This window comes from Homo sapiens, chromosome 6 (genome assembly GCF_000001405.40).
Source record: "Homo sapiens chromosome 6, GRCh38.p14 Primary Assembly".
Classification (NCBI taxonomy): domain Eukaryota; kingdom Metazoa; phylum Chordata; class Mammalia; order Primates; family Hominidae; genus Homo; species Homo sapiens.
The window spans coordinates 163,961,045-163,982,488 of NC_000006.12; the positions used below are offsets into that span (position 1 = coordinate 163,961,045).

At 42.9% G+C, this 21,444-nt stretch overlaps 1 long non-coding RNA gene across 1 annotated transcript in view, besides 1 other annotated feature; it reads left to right on the forward strand.

The window, feature by feature from the left end:
• Window positions 1–21,444, forward strand: part of LOC105378102 (uncharacterized) — a 155,467-nt gene that overhangs the window by 57,545 nt on the left and 76,478 nt on the right. The window lies entirely within an intron of this gene.
• Window positions 266–4,313: an enhancer, noted in NCBI's record as "VISTA enhancer hs1955". NCBI's record gives its function as "enhancer in: heart[5/8]" and the evidence as "EXISTENCE:transgenic organism evidence [ECO:0001131][PMID:17130149]".

Genomic DNA, 21,444 nt, shown 5'->3' on the forward strand with positions numbered 1-21,444 from the left:
GCTGCTCTATCATTTCACTGTCACTGGGGATGAAAAGGTGGGAGAAATGATGCAAGGAGTTCTCACTGCCATTCTTTTATTTGCTCTGACATTAAAAAAAAAAAAAAAGGTAGAGCTTGTATTTCTTACATGCCCAACTGTTGTTTTTAAAACTTAGAAATTTGGAAAAGCTTCTGTGACACCTGCATTTTTTTTTTTTTTTTAAGTTGGAGTTTCCCTCTTGTTGCCCAGGCTGGAGTGCAGTGGCACGATCTTGGCTCACTGCAAACTCTGCCTCCCTCGTTCAAGCGATTCTCCTGCCTCAGCCTCCGAAGTATCTGGGATTAAAGGCACGTGCCACCACACCCAGCTAATTTTTGTATTTTTAGTAGAGACGGGGTTTCACTATGTTGGTCAGGCTGGTCTGGAACTCCTAACCTTGTGATCCACCCGTCTTGGCCTCCCAGAGTGCTGGGATTACAGGCATGAGCCACTGCGCCCAGCCTGACAGCTGCATTTTTAAACTGTGCTGGAGACAGTGCACCTCTGTGATGGGGCTGGCAGGGGCTGGGGTTTGCCCAGGCTCAGGGCTGGGGTGCCACCTCCCTTGTCCTGGCGACTGCCCTTCAGGGAATGACTTTCATTGTCCTCATTCTGGAAATGAGGAAATGGAGGCTTAGGAACTATGTCAGTCTTCAATTGCTGTATAACCACCTTCCCAAAATTCAGTGGCTTCAAACAACCACTGTTGATTTTGCCCTAGAGGCTGTGGTCCCCTGGGCGGCACTCTGGGGTGAGGCTGGGCTGATTCAGGCTTCAGGGTCAGGCCAGAATGGCTCCTGCGGGGGTGTAGAGCTCGGTGGATGACAGGGCCACTGGGCCTTTTCCTGCTTCCTCCAGCCTGGTGGCCTTGGCTCCTCCAAATATGGTGAGAGGGTTACCAGGGGAGCACATGGCGGTGAGCAGGTACTCCCCAGATCTCAGCCATGTCACTCCTCATCATCCCAGTGGCCAAAGTGATCCTCTAGCCAACACCAGAGGCAGTGGGAAGGGGAGGTAGTCAGGGAGGTGAAGAAAGGGAGGCAGGGCGGGTGGCCTACAACAGGGAGGTTGAGTAACTTGACTGAAGTAACCCAGCCCAGGTGAGGAGGAACTGGGATTCGAACCCACATGCTTCCTTTGACCACTGAGGCCTGATCACTCAAGTCCTAGGTGGGCAGAGCTCAATACCCGGGGGTTGGACTTGGACAGCTTGGGTTAGACTTTCTGTTGCCAGACTCAGTTCCTTCTCTTCTTGCTCTTAGAGGTGGGTGTTAGGAGCTAGCTGCCTGGTGTGAAGCGCCAATCCTTGAGTGGAAGATGCAGAAAGGTGCAGGGTGTTGCTTCGCTGTAGCTCACCTTGGCCAAATCAGCTTCTAGAGCCCCCGTGCCACTTGTTGGATTGACTATTTAAGTGAGATCCCCGCATCCCCATAAACTCCCTTATAGTCCCCCATCCTGAAGATGGGACTTTGTAGCCCAAATGCAAAGTCAAAGTTTCTAAGTGCCCTGCCCGGCTTTCCTCTTAAGTTGTCCGGATATGCACCACGAGCTAACAACCTCACCGGATTGATTCTGGTGTGGAGAATAGGTTTCTTTAAAGAGGAGCTCTGCGGTGGTGGCTCTGGAGTGCCTGCAATTCCTGCACCTGGTGCCTCTGCCCTTGAAGGGCAGTGTGAAAGCTGGGAGGGCGGGCGTTTCAGCCTCCTTTCTGAAGGATGCAGTTGGGCATCTGATAGGTTACCTTAATTACACCATTTCCTCCTCCCTGTACACACTTCCAAAATCTAATTATAGTACATGTGACACCCTGTGACCAGCCAGAAGCCAGAGATTAATATAAAGTCACAGCAGGACAGTTTGCTCCCTGAAACGGTTTACATGACATTGCAAATATAGTCCTCAAGGATTTGATGCTGATACTTGGATACGTTCATCATCACGTTAGCATGTGAAGCAGGCGGGCTCTATGGGATCCGATTCAGCGCCCGTGGGAGGAACGGCTGGGGTTTATTCCCATTGGCCCATGCCGCTGTCCTTCTGGAATTTGACATTGGTGTCCTTGGAGTTTGGCATCTATTCTGAGGGGCCTTAGCCCTTTAACAATATGTCCCAATTAATTCTGTATTAATTGGGGGGGGGGGGCGCCTGTGGGTCCGTCTATGGGGGGCGCTTGGCCACTCTCCTGGGTGTGCTATCTCTGCCCAGATAAAGGATATTGTGTGCAGGCATTTGAGTTGGGAGCACTTGTTTATCTCTGTTCCTGCAGCTTTATTTAGCCTGGAGCTCCATACCGGGCCCTCACAGCCACACACCTACCAGAAGCACTTGCCCCAGAGTGGGACTCTGAGGGGAGAGGTGGCTGGGGAACGGCTGACTCGGGGCTGCAGAGTTATTTTCCTCCTCAAATCTGGGGCCTTGTTGTACATGTGAGGATTTTTGAAGACCAGCCTCTAAACCTATTACAAATTCTTCAGTGACTAAAATGTCAGCATGTGAACCGTCTTCCCACCCAGCTCGGGCTCTGTCTCTTCATTCAGGGGTGGCTTTAGTTTACCGGGAGATAAGTGGGGGAGCGATGTGAGAGGAATTCAGGAGAGAGGACAATTCCAGCTAAAAACAAACCTCAAGTGACAGTTGTGTAAACGCGCTCGCAAAGTAACATTCAACAGAACAAGCAGGGCGAGCGTCACAGGCCTCTTGTTGGAGAGAGACACAAACCTGGATTCCAAGTGCAAGGGTTTGACTTGGAAGAATGGCAAGGGCTCCCTCAATGTTTAAGAAACTCTAGGAAGCCTCCGCAAAGCCAAGATGCTCTTCAGTGTAAGCCTCTCTCGTCAGGCCCCCCTCCCCCAGAGGCGGATTCTCAGGCTCAGAGCTCTTGAGATCCGTGGCTGACCTCCTGACCATCGTTAATAATGACCGTTGCATGTTTCTAAATTGCTAAGGGAGTACATTTCACGTGTCCCACCATGGACAATAAGAGGGGTGGTGGATATGTTAATAAGTTTGATTTAATCACTCGACATTGTATACTAGACCAAAACATCACATTGAACCCTGTGAATACGTGTAATTATTATTTGTCAATTAAAATAATAATTTTCCAAAGCTGCTCCTGCAGGTGGATGTTTAGTGTGCTTTGAAGGCCAGTTCGGTGGAGCCTGGTTGTGAACCACGCAGGGGCACCCAGCTGGGAGCCAATGAGAAGTTGCTGAAGGGTTTCAGAGCTGCCTGCACAGCAGATGGAGCACAGACAGGGATGGACTAAGCCACCTGTGGGCGCCGGGGCTGTCACTGAGCTCCCCTGGGTGCCACAGTCTTCCTCACGTGCTGGGGACGCTCTTTCCTGCTGGGCTTGGCTGCAGGGACCTCGAGTCTCCCCGTGGGTGAAGCCCCATCTCACCAGGGCAGGGGTTAGGAGACTCTCTCCCAGGAAGCCCACGCCTTCCTCGTACCAATGAAGCACTGCAGGTGCCCCCAGCACAGACCTGCCTCGTCTCATGGATACCCTACCTCGGACATCTGGACAGGCTGTGTGATCTGGGGAGGGACAAGCAGGTCAATTAAAATAAGTTTCAGGGATGTCCTCACAGCCCCCTCAACCGGGATTGTTCTTTTGCAGTAAGAGCATCTGGGGCCTAGATACCAGTGTGGCCCCTCCCCACCACCCCAGCTTTATTAGGGGATCAGGAGGCAAGAAAGGCACACAGGGTCTTGGTTGGTCTCTTAAGTGTAGAAGAATATCACTGCTTATTTTGCAGAAAATCATTCTCCAGAATTAGTCCAAAAGAGTTCACTACAGTTTGTAGCAGGTCATGTCAATGAATGCTATAATAATAGTGACGAGAAAAGAGAGTAACCAGGGTGCCCTCCTGCCCTGGGTTGAGATTTGGGAGTCAGCAGCATCGCGATGGTAGAACATTTATTCCTGGTGACAGCGTCAGAACCAGAAAGAAAACAGCTTGATTTCCAGGTTCCAGGTTGAGCCCGCCAGGCTGGCAGGAAACTCTATTGCTTTCTCAACGAAGGAAATTTGATTCCTAAGTCACTGAGAGAGAGAAAATCAACTCCTTTTATGTCACTTTTATTATATGGTACTCTAATAATTCTGACATCTGTTTCTCTCATTTCTAGATTTTAAGACTTTACTTCGATCTGGGGCCATTAAATATTTGGGACCTTTCTAAGAAACCTTTTTAAAATTAACGAAGCTGTGCATGTGTGTTCTCCACATTGTATTGTATGACCTTAAGACTTGACGTTGCTGGAGGGGAAGGGTTTGTGTTTTGTGAAAACTACAACAGCCATGAGGTTTAATGTTTTTCTTGATCCAAATTGAGGCTTCTCTTCAGAAGTCTCTATATGATCTCAGAAAACTTTTTGCGACTGACCTCAAGGCATCCAAATTATTTTCAATGGAAAGGGCATCCAAGATTTAAAAATACGCTCTAGGCCTGGAAGGACCCTGGAGCCCAGATTGGAAGGGTGGGGTGGTTGAGTGCTGCTGCTGGAAGCTCTCGTAAAAGGGGTGAATGAAGTAAACATCATTAGAATTGCTGGGTGCCAGAGGCGCCTGTGTGACATGTCTGGATGGCTTCACCGAGACACACAACTGATTAGATATTCAAAGTCAGGTGCTAAGAAACCAAGGTCATGCCATACTGCATTTCTCTCAAACAACTGGGCCCAGATAAGTTAAGCAGTGGGTGATACCCCCAGACAGATAAGGTGGCAATTTTTAACAATCTTAAAATATTGTTACAGCAAGGAAGGTCGTGATAAGATCAAAGCATTTGGAATTATGTTAACGGGTGCTGGGATTTCTTTTGCCCTCCCCTCTCCCTGAGCCTCCCCCTTCCTGCCACGTCTGCTTACAAGCACACACATACAAACACCACACACACGGGGCATGGCGTGTTCCAGAACCTGCTGGGATACCGCTAGGCTTTGGAATATGAATGCAGGAAGTGCTCGTGATTTTTTTTTTTTTCCTGTGCTCACAGCAGGTTGATTTATGGCCTGGATTACTGGAAACAGTAATTCTTTGCTCTTTATGATGTTTTGGTGGGGGATGCAGTAGCCTGCAGTCAGAACACCATGATTTCAACTAGGTTTTTACAAAAAGGTCTCTGCAGAAAGGGTGGCTGTGAATTGGTCAGCTTCTGGAACAGAGCAGTTAATAAGACACTAGCACATTAATCATGTGACGGCTATTGGGCTTCGCAGGGACAGGCACTAGCTTTTAAAAACAGCAATTTAGGTGACTACTGTGTTGAAAGAGGTTGGCTGAACACACTGTTTTTAACCCACAGTTAACAGTTGAATTGTGTGGGTGGTTTTTACGTACACTTTTTCGTGTATCTGGAATTTTTAATAACCCTAATACAATAATCTCTTCTATTACCTTTTATCCTATGTCAATTTCCAGAGCTACAAATGTAATGAGGAGTAAGCCAGTTATCTGCTAATTCTGGAGAAACTGTCAAGAATTATTCTGAAATTATCTGGACAATGCATAAACTCTTCCACTTTACCGGGTGGCCCTGGTAACTCCATAACAAGTATTTTGGGGTGGGGGCAGCCACAAAACCAAAGCCACCACTCACTAATGAAATAAATGACTCTCCTCAGCTGAGTTTAAGAAGTTTGTCCTATGTAGAAACTAAAATCTAGAAGTATATTAGAATTTCTGTTCTTTGGACCAATAAAAATTCATAGTATAAAACTTAAGACATAAAATAACAGTGATTTCATGTATCTGCCAGTAGAAAACCACAGTTATCATTTTGTAAGAAACAAAAACACTACGTTTTCAAATCCAACAGTGATTCACTTTTGTTTCCACTCATTTGTTGCATTTTATTAGTGAAATGAAGTATAAAGGAAGCTGCATTTATCGGGCAATTACAATCTACAAGAGGCTATGAAAATGCAGTGGGAATAAACCACATCTTTTGTTTTGAAGGAGAGAAAAGTATGATAATTAATTAGTGAAGAGAGTGAGTGTTTTGAGGGTATTAAAATTATCGCTGTTAAAACCAGACCTGACTAGGTTCAAATTTTGTTTCCAAATCTCACTAGCTGTTTAATCTTAGGCGAGTTATTCTCCAATCTTTCTGTGCCTCAATTTCCTTGTTGTTAAAATGCATATATTCAGAGACCACAGTTCATGGGATTTTCTTGAGGATTAAGGGAAATTATGACAGTGAGTTCACTAAAAAAAAGCAATGTCTTTTATACAGTGACCTCTCAGAAAGTAAATTTTGGCATATCCATATTATAGATTATGATGCATTAATTTAAAATGGTGACACAGTTGTGGATTTAGAGACAAAGAAAAATGTTAATATATTGTTAAGGAGAAAAGGCTGTAAAAGATTTATAAATGTTTTATGCATTTGTGCAAATTACTAACAAAATGTTCTAAGAGGAGTTATAAAACAATAAATGTTTTAGTTGTCTCTCAGATTGGCACAGGTGCAAAAATAAAGTTCATACTCACTGCAGGCCGTGGGTGAGTATTAGACACACTCCTGCACCATTAGTGGAAGAGTAAATTAGTGTATCCTTTTGGGAGAGTAACTACATATATCTATCAAATGTTTCTCTATTTGGCCTATCAATTCTACTTCTTCAAATTTGTGCTGAGCAAATAATCATTGATATGTGAAAAGATTTATCTGTCAATAGAATCTATATTGCAATAAACATATATTATAGGCACATGCAATAACATAGAAAATCTCAAAATCCTAAAATTTGGTGAGAGAAGCCCAGCAAAAGAATGCATGTTCCATAATAAAAATGACTGAATAATTTCATAAAATTCAAAAACAGTCAAAATTAATTTAAAGTATTGGACATCAGGAGAGTAGTTATCTTTGGAGGGGTGAGAGGAGATATTGATGGAGAAAGGGCTAAAGGAATATCTGGAAACTGGGAACTTTCGATTTCCTGATCTAAGTACAGTAGCGCTTACACAGGGGTGCTAACTCGGTACTAATTCCTTGAACTGTGATAAGATGTACGCACAGTCTGTATTCTGTGTACGTTGCTATGTTGTTTATGTGAAAAAAGAATTAACCACTAATCACTGTGGGCTGCCTCAGTAAACTTTTATATCCATATTTTTATTAGCATGCATTAAATTATTAAAGTTATCAATGTGAAAATTTCTAAGTTTACTACTTTTAAATTTATCCCTATGGAAAATCCTAATGACGCAGTCAGGAGAAAACAGGGTACGCGGTAATATATATGATCTCACTGTATTATAAAAATAACAAGCTCCTTATATTTCTGTGTAGACATAGGCACTAACAAACTCTAGACAGCTATAAAAACAGAGACTGTTGGCCGGGCACAGTGGCTCATGTCTGTAATCCCAGCACTTTGGGAGGCCGAGGCGGGTGGATTGCCTGAGGTCAGGAGTTCAAGACCAGTCTGGCTAAGATGGTGAAATCCCATCTCTACTAAAAATACAAAAAAATTAGCGGGGCGTGGTGGTATGCGCCTGTAATCCCAGCTACTCGGGAGGCTGAGGCAGGGAAACTGCTTGAACCAGGGAGGTGAAGGTTGCAGTGAGCTGAGATCATGCTACTGCACTGCAGCGAGCAAGACTCTGACTCAAAAAAAAAAAAATAAAAACAAACAAACAAACAAAACCACACACCAGAGATTGTCTTCACATAATAGAAGCATAGATATTTTTAAAAAATTTTTTAGTATTATCTGGATGTTTTGCAAAGATCATAATACTGCCCTTCTGTAGATGATGGTAGCTACCTCTATAATTCTTCCGTGTGTTGCCCTTGCCTTTGTAGAAATGGAAAAGCTTCACCTCCATTCTCTTAGGATCATGGCTGAGTCCGAGAATAACGTTGACATAAGATGCTTTAACAGGAGAAAAGCCTAATGCAAGTTTGGACGCAGTGTTTCACACCTGTAATCCCAGCAATTTGGGAGGTGGAGGCAGGCGGATCATTTGAGGTCAGGAGTTTGAGACCAGCCTGGCCAACATGGTGAAACCCTGTCTCTGCTAAAAATACAAAAAAAATTACCGCGGCATGGTGGTTTGTGCCTGTAGTCCCAGCTACTTGGGAAGCTGAGGTGGGAGGGTCTCCTGAGCCTGGGAGGTTGAGGCTGCAGTGAGCTGAGATCATGATGCCTCTGCACTCCAGCCTGGGTGACAAAGCCAGACTGTCTCAAAAAAGAAAAAAAAAAAAGAAGACCCAAAAAGTAGTTAGAGTCATTACTTTTATACTGAATTGAACAAAGAGTAGTAACTTTTAAGAAAGCAACTATTGTGCAGGGAGGCTTAACAGATAAGAATGATGCTAACAAGGCCCTCTCAGTTATGACTTCTTGTCCTTGAGGATAAGGCTGTTGCCTCTTTCTAGCACAGGGAGGGCTCCTTTCACTTGGGAATTGCATCTTCTGCTTTTAAGAAACAGCATGAAGGTCAAAGTAATCTTTTTTGCATCTACTGCATTTTGAGTGCCCTTAACTTCGGTAGTCAAAGTGCCAGAAGAGCGTATTTTGGCTCCTTCACCCCCACCCCCAACATGGGCACCAAAGAAATCTTTCCAGCCCCAAGTCAGGTGGCTGCTCTCTCATGTGAAGCCATTTGGGGGCTTCCCGCTGCACCCAGAAGATCCCTGCAGACCTGTCTGCACCCCCTGACTCTCATCTCTCCTGTGCCTCGGGACCCCTGGCCTTGGGCTCTTCTCTCCTTGCCATCTTCCTGCCTTCTAGTACCTGCTTCTGCACAGGCGTTCTGCCCTCCTCATTTGCTCCCTTGCTTTCTTGCGGCCTCAGGTCAAATATCATGATTCTCACCTAATGCCTGCTCTTCTTTTCCTCTAAGACAATGATGAACATTTATACTTTTGTCTTTAGTTTGGGGTTAACTTTTTTTTTTTTCTTTTGAGACAGGGTCTCTCACTCTGTCCCTCAGGCTGGAGTGCAGTGGCGTGATCTCAGCTCACTGCAATCTCCGCTTCCCAGGCTTAAGCAACTGTCCTGCCTCAGCCTCCTGAGTAGCTGGAATTACAGGCACCCGCCACCATGCCGAGCTAATTTTTGTATTTTTAGTAGAGACAGTGTTTCACCATGTTGGCCAGGCTGGTCTCGAACTCGTGACCTCAAGTGATCCACAAGCCTTGGCCAAGGTGCTGGAATTACAGGCATGAGCCACCATGCCTGGCCTGGGGTTAACTTTTTAAATGTTTGTCTCACCTGCGCCTCTTTCTTCAGACTGCATTGCACGAGGGTGGGGCTGTATCTGCCTTGTTCATCTTCATAACCCTAGAGCCTCATTCCTGCTAGTTCCCAATAAATACACTGAACAAACGGAACCCCAAAAGGCACTTATGAAAATAACCAGCAGCTTATTGAAATTAAAACCTAAACTCAAGATTGTAATAGGAAAAGAATGAAATGAACTAATTGTCATTAAATAATAGCAAAATAAATTGTTAAAATGATATTCTTGAAGAATTTTTTATGACATGAAAATTGATTTGGGATATATTATTAAATGAAGAAAGAGAGTTACAAAAGTATGTGGCAATCTGAGTTAATTTTGTAAAAAAAAAATCGAATAATTTATGTAGGTGCAGAGAGGGGTCTGGAAATAAAGGCACACAAAACCTTCACAGTAGCTGTCTCCATGCAGTGAGGTAATAGAAGCCTTTTACTTTTTTTTTTGAAAAAAATTGCTTGTCTTTATTTTCTCAAACATGCATTGCTATAGTAATGAAAAAATAATGAATGTTATTTTTAATTAAAAAATACTAAAGCAAACTAGCTTTCTCTGTGTTTAAACAGTATGGAGCTATACTCCATTTAGAAAGGATGTTTATTTCACAGCCTCTGTTGTGGGGAAGTATGTAAGGTAATTTGGAACTCAGTTTCCAGCGGGACCTGTCGAGGTGGAAGTCCTACACCTTGCAGCAGCATCAGAGCACCTTCCAGACACCCTCCCCCTGGCCCCTACACGCCTGACTGGAAACATAATCCTGGCTCCATAAGGTGTGGGCTTATTTTATTTCTCAGAGCATAGTTCAGCCCATTTCTGAGAAGATGCTGCACACAATTCCATTGTCTGGATGCTCTAGTAATGTGCCTGTTACTGGCTATCACTTGAGGACTAAGCAATTGTGAGCACTTGCCACCACCCAGCTGGTGGGGACACTGGAATACCTGGGGAAGAGGAGTGCACAGGCACCCTGCCACATCCTCCCCTCCTGATGCCCAGGTGTGCCCCAGCCAGTCTCAGGTCCCCTGGGGCCCAAGGCATAGCAGGGCAGTAACGCCTCTGAGTAATGCGGGTCTCATGCCGTGTCCTGAAGGAACACACCTGAGATACGGCCGACTGGAGTGCGTTGCACATTTGCTTCTTTTTAGTCACCAGGAAGGAGTAAATTATGAGGGAGGGTCGGAGTTCTGCAGAGCACCGAGGGCCACATGGGGAAGGCGTTCTTGTTTCTAGAGGCCGCTTTAACCAGACCCACTTGGGGGCCCCGTGGCGATTTATTTCCATACATCGCGGCAGGCTCACCTTCAAAGGAGTTTTATGATGTTGAAACAACCAGTCTGACAAAAAGACATTGTAATCTGTGGACTACTTTTTGTCACTTTAACCAATTACAATTTTATGTAGCTAGATCTTCATCAGTAATTTTCTTAGAGTTTGAAAGACAAAATGCCACATCCGTTTACCGGGCCTCGTTTTATGCCGTGATTCTCTTGCTGTCTTCGAAGGCACTGTCATCATTCTGTCTTCTAGATGATCTTAGAATTCATGTAATTGTCGGGGGCTTCCCCAAACATAGTGGCTGGCAGTGAGTTGCCATAGCTGACACATTCCGGGAATCCTCATTAGCTGGGAAAGGTGGACGATGTTTGTCTTCCACATTCCAGTGCCGGGGAGAAAGCTCCTTTTCAGAGAGAGCGGACCTGGCATGCTTGCACCGCAGCCACGTCACCCCGGGCCGTTCAACAAAGCAAGCGGCCCGTGCACCGGGGTCCAGGCTGATCACCGGCGGCCGGCCGCCTGGAAGGGGGCGCTGGGCCAGTCTCTGTGGGCTTGGGTGTGGTCAGCCTGTCCCCAGCTCCTGGGTTCGGAAGGTATTTTGGAATTTTGGTGATAGCTGAACTGCTTCTTACCAGCTGGGAGAGGGATCTGAGGGCGTGCTGAGGAAGACCCGATGGAGAGCTCCGCTCACAGCGATGCCATTAGGTTCTCACCGCCGCCACCAGACGCAGTGGAACACAGTGAGCTTCGAGAACTCCAAACGTCTTTCTTTTTTCCTTTTAATCTATAAAATGGGAAGCGTTGCGTTCACGAGTCCATAAACGAATTTCTAGCGCTCCCTGGAGTTTGTTTAGACAGCACATTGCATGTTCGCAGTATTTGTCCTTCTCTTCCGGATTGGGTTCTGTTCGGTTGTCCTTGGTGTGTATTTCAGCGACATGGTTTTGAAGCCGCTTGTCTTCCCAGCACATTCACAATCGTGATGCCATCGGAGCCCAGGGCCTTGTCCGCACGTGGCAGCACAGCACGGCAGAGGCTGCAGGGCTGAAGCCTGCGCAGCGGCGCTGGTGTCCGAAGGCGCAGGGGAAGGGCAGCCCCTCTGGCAGCCGCCGCACAGGCCGTCCCGGGGCAGCAGGACCCGAGCAGAGACCACGAGGCCAACGCCAGCAGCTCGGGAACTCACCGAGACGAGACTTAGATGCCAAGGGTTGGTAAAGAGTGTCAACGCCCAGACCGTGGAACCATTCCTGTTTTAACTATAGATGTAAAAGTCTAAATTAAGAATTGGCAACTAATGTCCAGCCATGAGTCCCCCGCATTACATACTTCTAAATACATAATTTTAGGACTGTAAAGTGATTCACTATTAGGATGTCTCCACGTAATTCCGTGTATCGTCCCATTTAAGAAGAAAACATATGCTCGTATCAATAAATGTTAAAGACATTTGATAAAACTTAGCAGATATTCCAAATAACATATCTAAGCAAATCAGGATAAGGGGAAATAATTTAAATTTGAAATAAATAACTTGTACAAAAGACACCGCAGATGTTATTCTACATGGTGAAATGCTAAACTCACTTCTACTAAAACTGGGAACCAGACAGGGATATTTACTGTCATTACCATTATTTGATATTTTTAAAGGTAAGAAAAGAAAATAATCATTAAAATACTTGGAAAGAAGAGATAAAATTATCCTTTTTGCTAATGACGTAAGAACCTATCTATAAAATCAAAAAATACTCTAATTAAAAAGAAACTATTATAACTAATAAAATAATTTGGTAAAGCAATTAGATATGGCATATGTAGAAATCAAGTTTTCTCTCTGCTAGTAATAACTAACTAGAAATGAGAATAAGAAAAAACATTATTCCATTAAAAAATAACAGCAATTAATATACTCAAATTCATTTAATCAGAAAGATATGGGACCTTTCTGAGGAAATTCCAGAAATCTATAGAAGGATATAAAATAAGATCTCAACAAATGGAAAGATATATTATTTTTAATATAAAATTAAATATCATAAAGATGTCAGTTCTGTCAAAGTTAACATATTCATTTATGCAATTCCAATTAAAATTTTTTCCCCTCAAAATAATGATCTCAAAGTAGAAGAATGAAATTATCACTAAGGAGTGTGGTGAAACGTGCTAGCCTTACCAGACATTGAAACATACTTTAGAGCCACTGAAATCAAAACCGTATGGTACTGGTATAGGGAAAGATTGACATTTAAGTGAAAAAAATATTGAAATCCTAGAAATAGAAGCTTGACAAAGGAGTACTTAAATTCAGTGAGAAAGGGATACACTTTGTAGTAAACGTGCTGGTACAACTGGCTCTCTGCTAAAATAAAATTTGCTTGGATTCTATCTGACATGACACGAAGAGTACTAAATGGATTGATTATTTAAAGGCAAAAATTTATTGTAAAACAAAATTAGAGTGGTGATATGATAGATTTAAGGTGGCAGGGTCTTTATAAGCAAGGCGGTAAATCCAGGAGCCATAAAAGAAGTGATAAACATTTCTAATTAAAAATACTATTATTAATTTAACAAGAGCATTTTAAAATGAAATACTTTTCATCAGGCAAAGTTATCACACACATACTCAACTGACAAAAGACTGAGGAAAAACATTGTACTCCAGGGGAGTTAAATGATTCAGTTAAAAGGGAGAGAAAGAGTTAAACTTTACAAACAGTGTATATTTGCACATTGATAACAATAGTGTAAGCAAACCAAGAGAACATATGCAAAAAGTACCAATAAATACAGATCAGCAAGTCCACATGGCCTATAAACATATGGAAAAGATATTCAACCTCTGTCTCAAGAGAAATTCAAAGTGATGGATTTCACAACATACCTATCACTGTGGAAAATAAAAAAAGCTGGCCAAGATGTAAGAAAACGGCACTCTCACAAATTTTTAGTGGAAATGTGAATTGTTTCATCCTTCTTGGAAAGCAATTTGGAACCTTCTATAAACATTTAAACTACTCGTCTATATCCTTGACATAGCAATGCCAATTTTAGGAACCTATTTTACAGAAATAAAATATCAGACTCTAAGTATATAAGAGTCTTCCTTGCAGTACTATTCATACTTACTAATATCAAACCCAAAGTAGGTACCCATTAATACAAAAATGGTTAAATAAAATATGATACACTTATACAATGGAATATTACACAGTTACCCAATAACTTGGAGAGAATCACACTATGAACTGTTAAGTGAGAAAGTTAACACTGGGAGAAGCTTACTAATACACAATATAATTTTTCTGAAGGAAACTGTAGTGGGTTGAATTATGGTCCCCAAAAGATATGTTCAAGTCCCAAGTCCCAGTAACTGTGAATGTGACCTGATTTGGAAATGGCATCTTTGCAGATATACGTAAGGATCTCGAAATGAGGTCAACCTGAATTTTGGGTGGGGCATAAATCCAATTACTAGTGTCTTCTTAACTGAAAGTAGGAGGAGGCTTGGAACACAGATATATGGAGAAAGAAGGCCATGAGAAGATGAAGATGGAGGCAGAGGTTGGAGTGACGGATCTGCAAAGACCGCCTAGGGTTGCTGGCCAATGTCAGAATCTAAAAGAAAGGCATGGGAACAAACTTTCCTCAGAGCTCCCAGAAGGAACCAACCTTACCAAAACCTTGATTCCAGACCTCTGGCCTTCTTCACTGTGAGAATACATTTCTGTTCTCTTAAGCTACGTAGTTTGTTGAAATTTGTTGCAGCACCCTTACAGAAACTAAGCCCAACACCCTATTTGTATATGTGATCATCTATGCAGATATACGGATGATAGACAGGTGGAAAATGGATGGAAGAAGGCACCCGCCAGGTTGTTAACCTCAGACATCTGTGCCAGTGGGAAGCTGGACAAGGGATGCTGCTGGAGGAGAGGGATGGAGGGAAGGGAACATCTGGCAAGGGCAAGCATCAAAGGACAAACTAAGAGCTGAGCCCCAGATATGGGATCCGTGCAAGATCTAGAACTGAGCCAGAACTACCTCCTTGAACATAATAGCCAAAAGGGATATAGCTAGTTCTTTAGAGTAAAGGAAATAGAAGTTGACACAGTAACCTCTGTGCATTCTTTCTTTTGGTAGTAGATTGATACGCAGAGTAAAATGTATAAGATTCTCATTGAAAACATTCTTGTGTCTTAGATACATTTGTGCACTTCTGTCTTAGATACATTTCATGTCTCTATGTATCATATCTCCATCTGTCTGTCTTCCTAACTTCCAGACAATTCCTGAGATTATTTACCCATTTGCAGAGACAAATGAGGTGATCCAGCCCCTGCATTTCTTTTTTTTTTTTTTTTGTATTTGAAGATCTGCTGGTAATTTCTTTTTTTTTATTATTATACTTTAAGTTTTAGGGTACATGTGCACAATGTGCAGGTTTGTTACATATGTATACATGTGCCATGTTGGTGTGGTGCACCCATTAACTCGTCATTTACATTAGGTATATCTCATAATGCTATCCCTCCCCCTTCCCTCCACCCCACAACAGGCCCCGGTGTGTGATGTTCCCCTTCCTGTGTCCATGTGTTCTCATTGTTCAATTTCCACCTGTGAGTGAGAACATGCAGTGTTTGGTTTTTTGTTCTTGTGATAGTTTGCTGAGAATGATGGTTTCCAGCTTCATGCATGTCCCTACAAAGGACATGAACTCATCATTTTTTATGACTGCATAGTATTCCATGGTGTACGTGTGCCACATTTTCTTAATCCAGTCTATCATTGTTGGACATTTGGGTTGGTTCCAAGTCTTTGCTATTGTGAATAGTGCTGCAATAAACATACCTGTGCATGTGTCTTTATAGCAGCATGATTTATAATCCTTTGGGTATATACCCAGTAATGGGATGGCTGGGTCAAATGGTATTTCTAGTTCTAGATCCCTGAGGAATCGCCACACTGACTTCCACAATGGTTGAACTAGTTTACAGTCCCACCAACAGTGTAAAAGTGTTCCTATTTCTCCACATCCTCTCCAGCACCTGTTGTTTCCTGACTTTTTAATGATTGCCATTCTAACTGGTGTGAGATGGTATCTCATTGTGGTTTTGATTTGCATTTCTCTGATGGCCAGTGATGATGAGCATTTTTTCATGTGTCTTTTGGCTGCATAAATGTCTTCTTTTGAGAAGTGTCTGTTCATATCTTCACCCACTTGTTGATGGGGTTGTTTATTTTTTTCTTGTAAATTTGTCTGAGTTCATTGTAGATTCTGGATATTAGCCCTTTGTTGGATGAGTAGATTGCAGAAATTTTCTCCCATTTTGTAGGTTGCCTGTTCACTCTGATGATAGTTTCTTTTGCTGTGCAGAAGCTCTTGAGTTGAATTAGATCCCATTTGTCAATTTTGGCTTTTGTTGCCATTGCTTTTGGTGTTTTAGACATGAAGTCCTTGCCCATGCCTATGTCCTGAATGGTATTGCCTAGGTTTTCTTCTAGGGTTTTTATGGTTTTAGGTCTAACATTTAAGTCTTTAATCCATCTTGAATTAATTTTTGTATAAGGTGTAAGGAAGGGATCCAGTTTCAGCTTTCTACATATGTCTAGCCAGTTTTCCCAGCACCATTTATTAAATAGGGAATCGTTTCCCCATTTCTTGTTTTTGTCAGGTTTGTCAAAGATCAGATGGTTGTAGATATGCAGCATTATTTCTGAGGGCTCTGTTCTGTTCCACTGGTCTATATCTCTGTTTTGGTACCAGTACCATGCTGTTTTGGTTACTGTAGCCTTGTAGTATAGTTTGGAGTCAGGTAGCGTGATGCCTCCAGCTTTGTTCTTTTGGCTTAGGATTGTCCTGGCAATGCGGGCTCTTTTTTGGTTCCATATGAACTTTAAAGTAGTTTTTTTCCAATTCTATGAAGAAAGTCATTGGTAGCTTGGTGGGGGTGGCATTGAATGTATAAATTACCTTGGGCAGTATCAGCCACTGCATTTCTTAACAGAGGAAGACAGAAAGTTGAGGACAACAGAAAAGCCAGCTACAAAACAATCACAAACCTAGAAGAAATCTTCAAGAATCTTGTATCTGTATTTTTTTTTTCTGCTTCTAAAGATAACCTTGGCTGCAAAGTGTCAGGGGCTCTGCTCTGTTAATAATGTACTCCTGGGAAGCTTCCTCTGCACACCCTCACACTGGTGGTGCAGGTGGGCCCTAGGTGAGATGGTCACACTGCACTTCCTGCCATTTGGAGCTCCTCTCTTCCCTCTGAACCCAGGACTCCCTCATGAAACCCAGTGCTCCTTGCTTCTCGCCTGTTAAATAAGTAGGACAGACTCTAAACCAGGGCTCTGAAATGCAAATGACCCGCAAGGTGATGGGAACGGGGGTGGATCGAAGCAACATATTACCGGACATGTGAAGATACATGTCAATTTCACCTGGCCTCTGAAGGACCCGGGAACTGGGACAAAGAGGAACATTTCTTGCTGGGTTTCTTGCCGGGTTTCTTGCCACAAGGGAATGGGATACCGTGTTGCCTGGGTTTTCAAGAAAAGGGGAAATTTGAATGTTTGTGTGATGTCTCTCAATGTATAACTACTGACAACTATTTCAAAATTTTAAAAGTCCTGTGTGGGTTACAATCAAAAGATGTCGAGGACAGGAGTTTTTCTAAGGTCACCTGTTTGTCACCTCTGAAATATGAAGATATTTTTATTCATTTCTTGCTAAGTGACTTCTTAAGATCTCTTATAAACTAATTCACACCAAGCTATTACCTGCTTAGTGTCTGGCTGCTTTCAGGGTTCCTTGCATCTTGGCAACTAATCCTTTTTGTTCTCAAATTTCCCAATCTTTTCAGAGTGAGGGAAGTTCCTCAAAGAAATAACATTCATTTTTATATTTTTGTCTTATAAAGTGAAAATTCCTTTTATTTTTAACTCCAAAGACATATTTCAGAGTCCCACAAGGTAATAATTATTCTGCAAGTACCTTTTGAGTAAAAAAATACAGAATATCAAAAGTCTATTAAAAATAATAGCAGTATGTTTAAATAAATTTATATTTTAGTAATTTCAACATTATGCTTTTTAAAGTTTATCAAGCTTTAGCTTCCAGCTTAGATAAGGTAACAAGGACTGAATTTACCCTTTTGTCTGAAACAACCAATAAAACCAGACAAAGTATATGTAACAATAGGTTTCAAATCACTGGGCATCAGGCAGCAAAGGACAGAGATCCCTGAGAGGTAGAAACAATTAAGATGAGTCCCACAATTGATTTTCAAAAGACACTATAAAGAGAATGAGTGCATGGGCCACAGACGGGGGCAGGGGAAACCATATCAGATCCAAGCAAGGCTTGTATCTGAAAAAAGGTTCATACCTACAATATATTAAGGACTACCAAAACTCAATAATAGGAAGACAAATAATCCAATTTAAAAATGGAAAAAATATTTGAATAGATACTTTGTCAAAGAAAATACAGAGATAGCAAGTAAGCACATAAAAGATACTCAGTGGCATTAGTGGTTAGAGAAAAATTAAATCCATAATAAGCTATACATTTTCACTCTACATCTAGTGAAAATGGCTAAAATTAACAACTGACATTATCAAGTGTTGGCAAGTATGTGGAGGAACTAGAGCTCTCCAGTCAGCTGGAGGGAATGTGAAATGGTGCAACAACATTGGAAAAAATTTTGCAGTTTCTTAAAAAGTTAAACACACGGCCAGGCATGGTGGCTCATTCCTGTAATCCCAGCACTTTGGGAGGCTGAGATGGATGGGTCACGAGGTCAGGAGATCAAGACCATCCTGGCTAACACAGTGAAACCCCATCTCTACTAAAAAAAATACAAAAAAAAAAAAAAAATTAGCCAGGAGTGGTGGCGGGTGCCTGTAGTCCCAGCTACTTGGGAGGCTGAGGCAGGAGAATGCCGTGAAACCAGGAGGCAGAGCTTGCAGTGAGCTGTGATCGTGCCACCGTACTCCAGCCTGGGCGACAGAGCGAGACTCTTGTCTCAAAAAAAAAAAAGTTAAACACATACTTATATGACCCAGACCTTTGACTTATGGGTATTTCTTTAAAAGAAATAAAAGCTTATATTTGTATGAAGATGTATAACAATGTTCATAGGTTTATTTATAATAATACAAAACCAGAAACCAAATTGTGGTACATCTCTACAATAGAATACTTTCAGCAATAAGAAATGAACTAATGATACATGCTATAACATGGATTTCAAATAATTATTCTTTTTTTTTTTTTTTTTTTTTTTTTGAGACAGAGTTTTACTTTGTCACCCAGGCTGTAGTGCAGTGGTGTGATCTTGGCTCACTGCAACCTCCACCCCTGCCAGGTTTAAACAATTCTCGTGCCTCAGCCTCCTGAGTAGCTGAGATTACAGGTGCCCTCCACCATGCCTGGCTAACTTTTGTGTTTTAGTGGAGATGAGGTTCCACTATGTTGGCCAGGCTGGTCTTGAACTCCTGACCTCAAGTGATCCACCCGCCTTGGCCTCCCAAGGTGTTGGGATTACAGGCGTCAGCCACCCCCTGTAATCCCGGGGTCATGTAATTATTCTGAGCAGAAGTCAACCAAAGAAAAACATGATTCCATTTATATAACATTCTAGAAAATGCAAACTAATCTATTGTGAAAGAAAGCAGTTCAGTTGCTTGGAGACAGGAGTGGGAATAGGAAGGGGAGAAGGAGGAGTAAGAGGAAGAGATTGTAAAAGGCGATGTCCCATCCATGATGAATGAATAAACAAGATGTGGTACATACAGACAGTGGATGTTGTTCAGCCTTAAAAAGGAAGGACATTCTGACCCACGTGACAACCTGGATGAAACTTGAAGACATTATGCTAAGTAAAAGAAGGCAGTTACAAAGAGACAAATATTGCACGTGCCTTAGTCGGTTTAGGCTGCTATAACAAAATGCCTTACACTGGGCAATTTGTAAACAACAGGAACTTATTGCACACAGTTCTGGAAGCTGGGAGGTCCAAGATCAAAGTGTGAGTAGATTCAGTGTCTGGTTCAGGCAGGCTCTGTCTTTTTAACGATGGTGCCTTTTTTTTCCCTTTTTTTTTTTTTTCTTGCAAGGGGTGAGACAGAGTCTCGCTCTGTCACCCAGGCTGGAGTGCAGTGGCATGAACACAGCTCACTTGCAGCCTTGACCTCCTGGGCTTGAGCAATCCTCCCATCTCAGCCTCCCAAGTAGCTGGGACCACAGGCAGGTGCCACAATGCCCGGCTAATTTTTGTAGAGACGGAGTCTCGCCATATTGCTCAGGCTGACCTCAAACTCCTGAGCTCAAGCCATCCACTCACCTTAGCCTCCCAGAGTGCTGGGATTACAGGTGTGAGCTGGCCCCAAAGATGATGCCTTCTTGCTGCATCCCCGCATGGTGAAAGAGGGGGATAACCTCCCTCATGCCTCTTTTATCAGGGCACTAAGTGCGTTCATGTGGGTGCAGTCCTCATGACCTCAGTACTTCCCAATAGCCCCATCTTTAATACTTTCACACTGGGGATTGGGTTTCTACATATTAATTTTTTGGGGGACACAAGCATTCAGATCATAGCAGTATGATTCCACTTCTGTGAGGCATCCAGAGGAGTCAAATTCATAGAGTCAGAGAATAGAATGGTAGTTACTAGGGGCTGTGGGAGAGGGGAATGGGGTTTCGTTTAATGGGGACAAAGTTTCAGTTTGGGAAGATAAAGTCCTGTGGTGGATGGTGGTGATGGCTGCTCGACAACGTGAATGCACTGAACGCCGCTGAACTGCATATCCCCAAAATGGCGAAAATGGTAAATTGTGTGGTATGTAGATTTTGCCACAATAAAAAAGGAGCACATGAAGCCACATTTGGGGGTAATGGCAGAGCTGGCTGCACAATTTGTGGGACCCAGCACAGAATGAGAATGCAAGTCCTGTTATTAGAAAATTATTGAGAATTCCAAGATGCTAGCGCAGAGCCTTCACTCAAGCATGGTGCCCGTCTGCATGTGGGCTCCTGGGCAGGTGCTCAGGTCACACATCCTCGAAGCCTGCCTAGCTGGCAGATCCATCCACTGTCTTGGTGACAGTGATGATTTCCTGGGAGTATACATAAGTCAAAACTTCTCAAAGCAGAAACTTGACGTGGATATAGTTTATTGTTTATCAATAAACTCAATACCTCAATACCGCTGTTTAAATAGGAGCAACAAAAAGCCTGTCTTTGGAAAAGAGAGGTGCCTATATGAGTAAGGCAGGCTTTATTCACACTGCTGTTTTTTGTGGATGTGAGTTCATCCCTCTTCTGCTAATTGTTCACTCATCAATAAATTAGGACTCTTTGTTTTGATTGAAAAGAAAAGATTTTGGGAAGGAACCACAGTTAAAAACGTGGGCTTGGTGTGAGAAGATTGCTCCACGAATTTCGAACTCTGTGACCTTGAACAGGTCCAAGATTCTCACCTTCTAAATCAGCTTGACTTCACCGGGCAGCTGGGAAGATTTAATGAGGTAGAAATGCCTAACGTGCCCAACATGGTGCCTGCCATTTGTGCTTCAGGAGTAATTCGTAAGAATGCACCGGTGGATCTTTCCCTGGTGCCGTGAGAGGCTTTTGGATATATTCTTTAAATCTCAGCTGCAGGTGCTCTCCTTAGCATAGCGTAGCGTTTATACCAGACCCTGGTTCCGCCACTAACCAGCTGTGCAATCTTGGAAATCCTACTAATTTCCAGACTTTCAGTTTCCTCATCTGTGCAGCAACTAGAATAATGGTACCTACTGATGTGAGAATGAAATGAAATAATATATGTAAAACATTTAGAGATTGGCACAGAGGTGCTATCTGTGGATTAGCCATTATC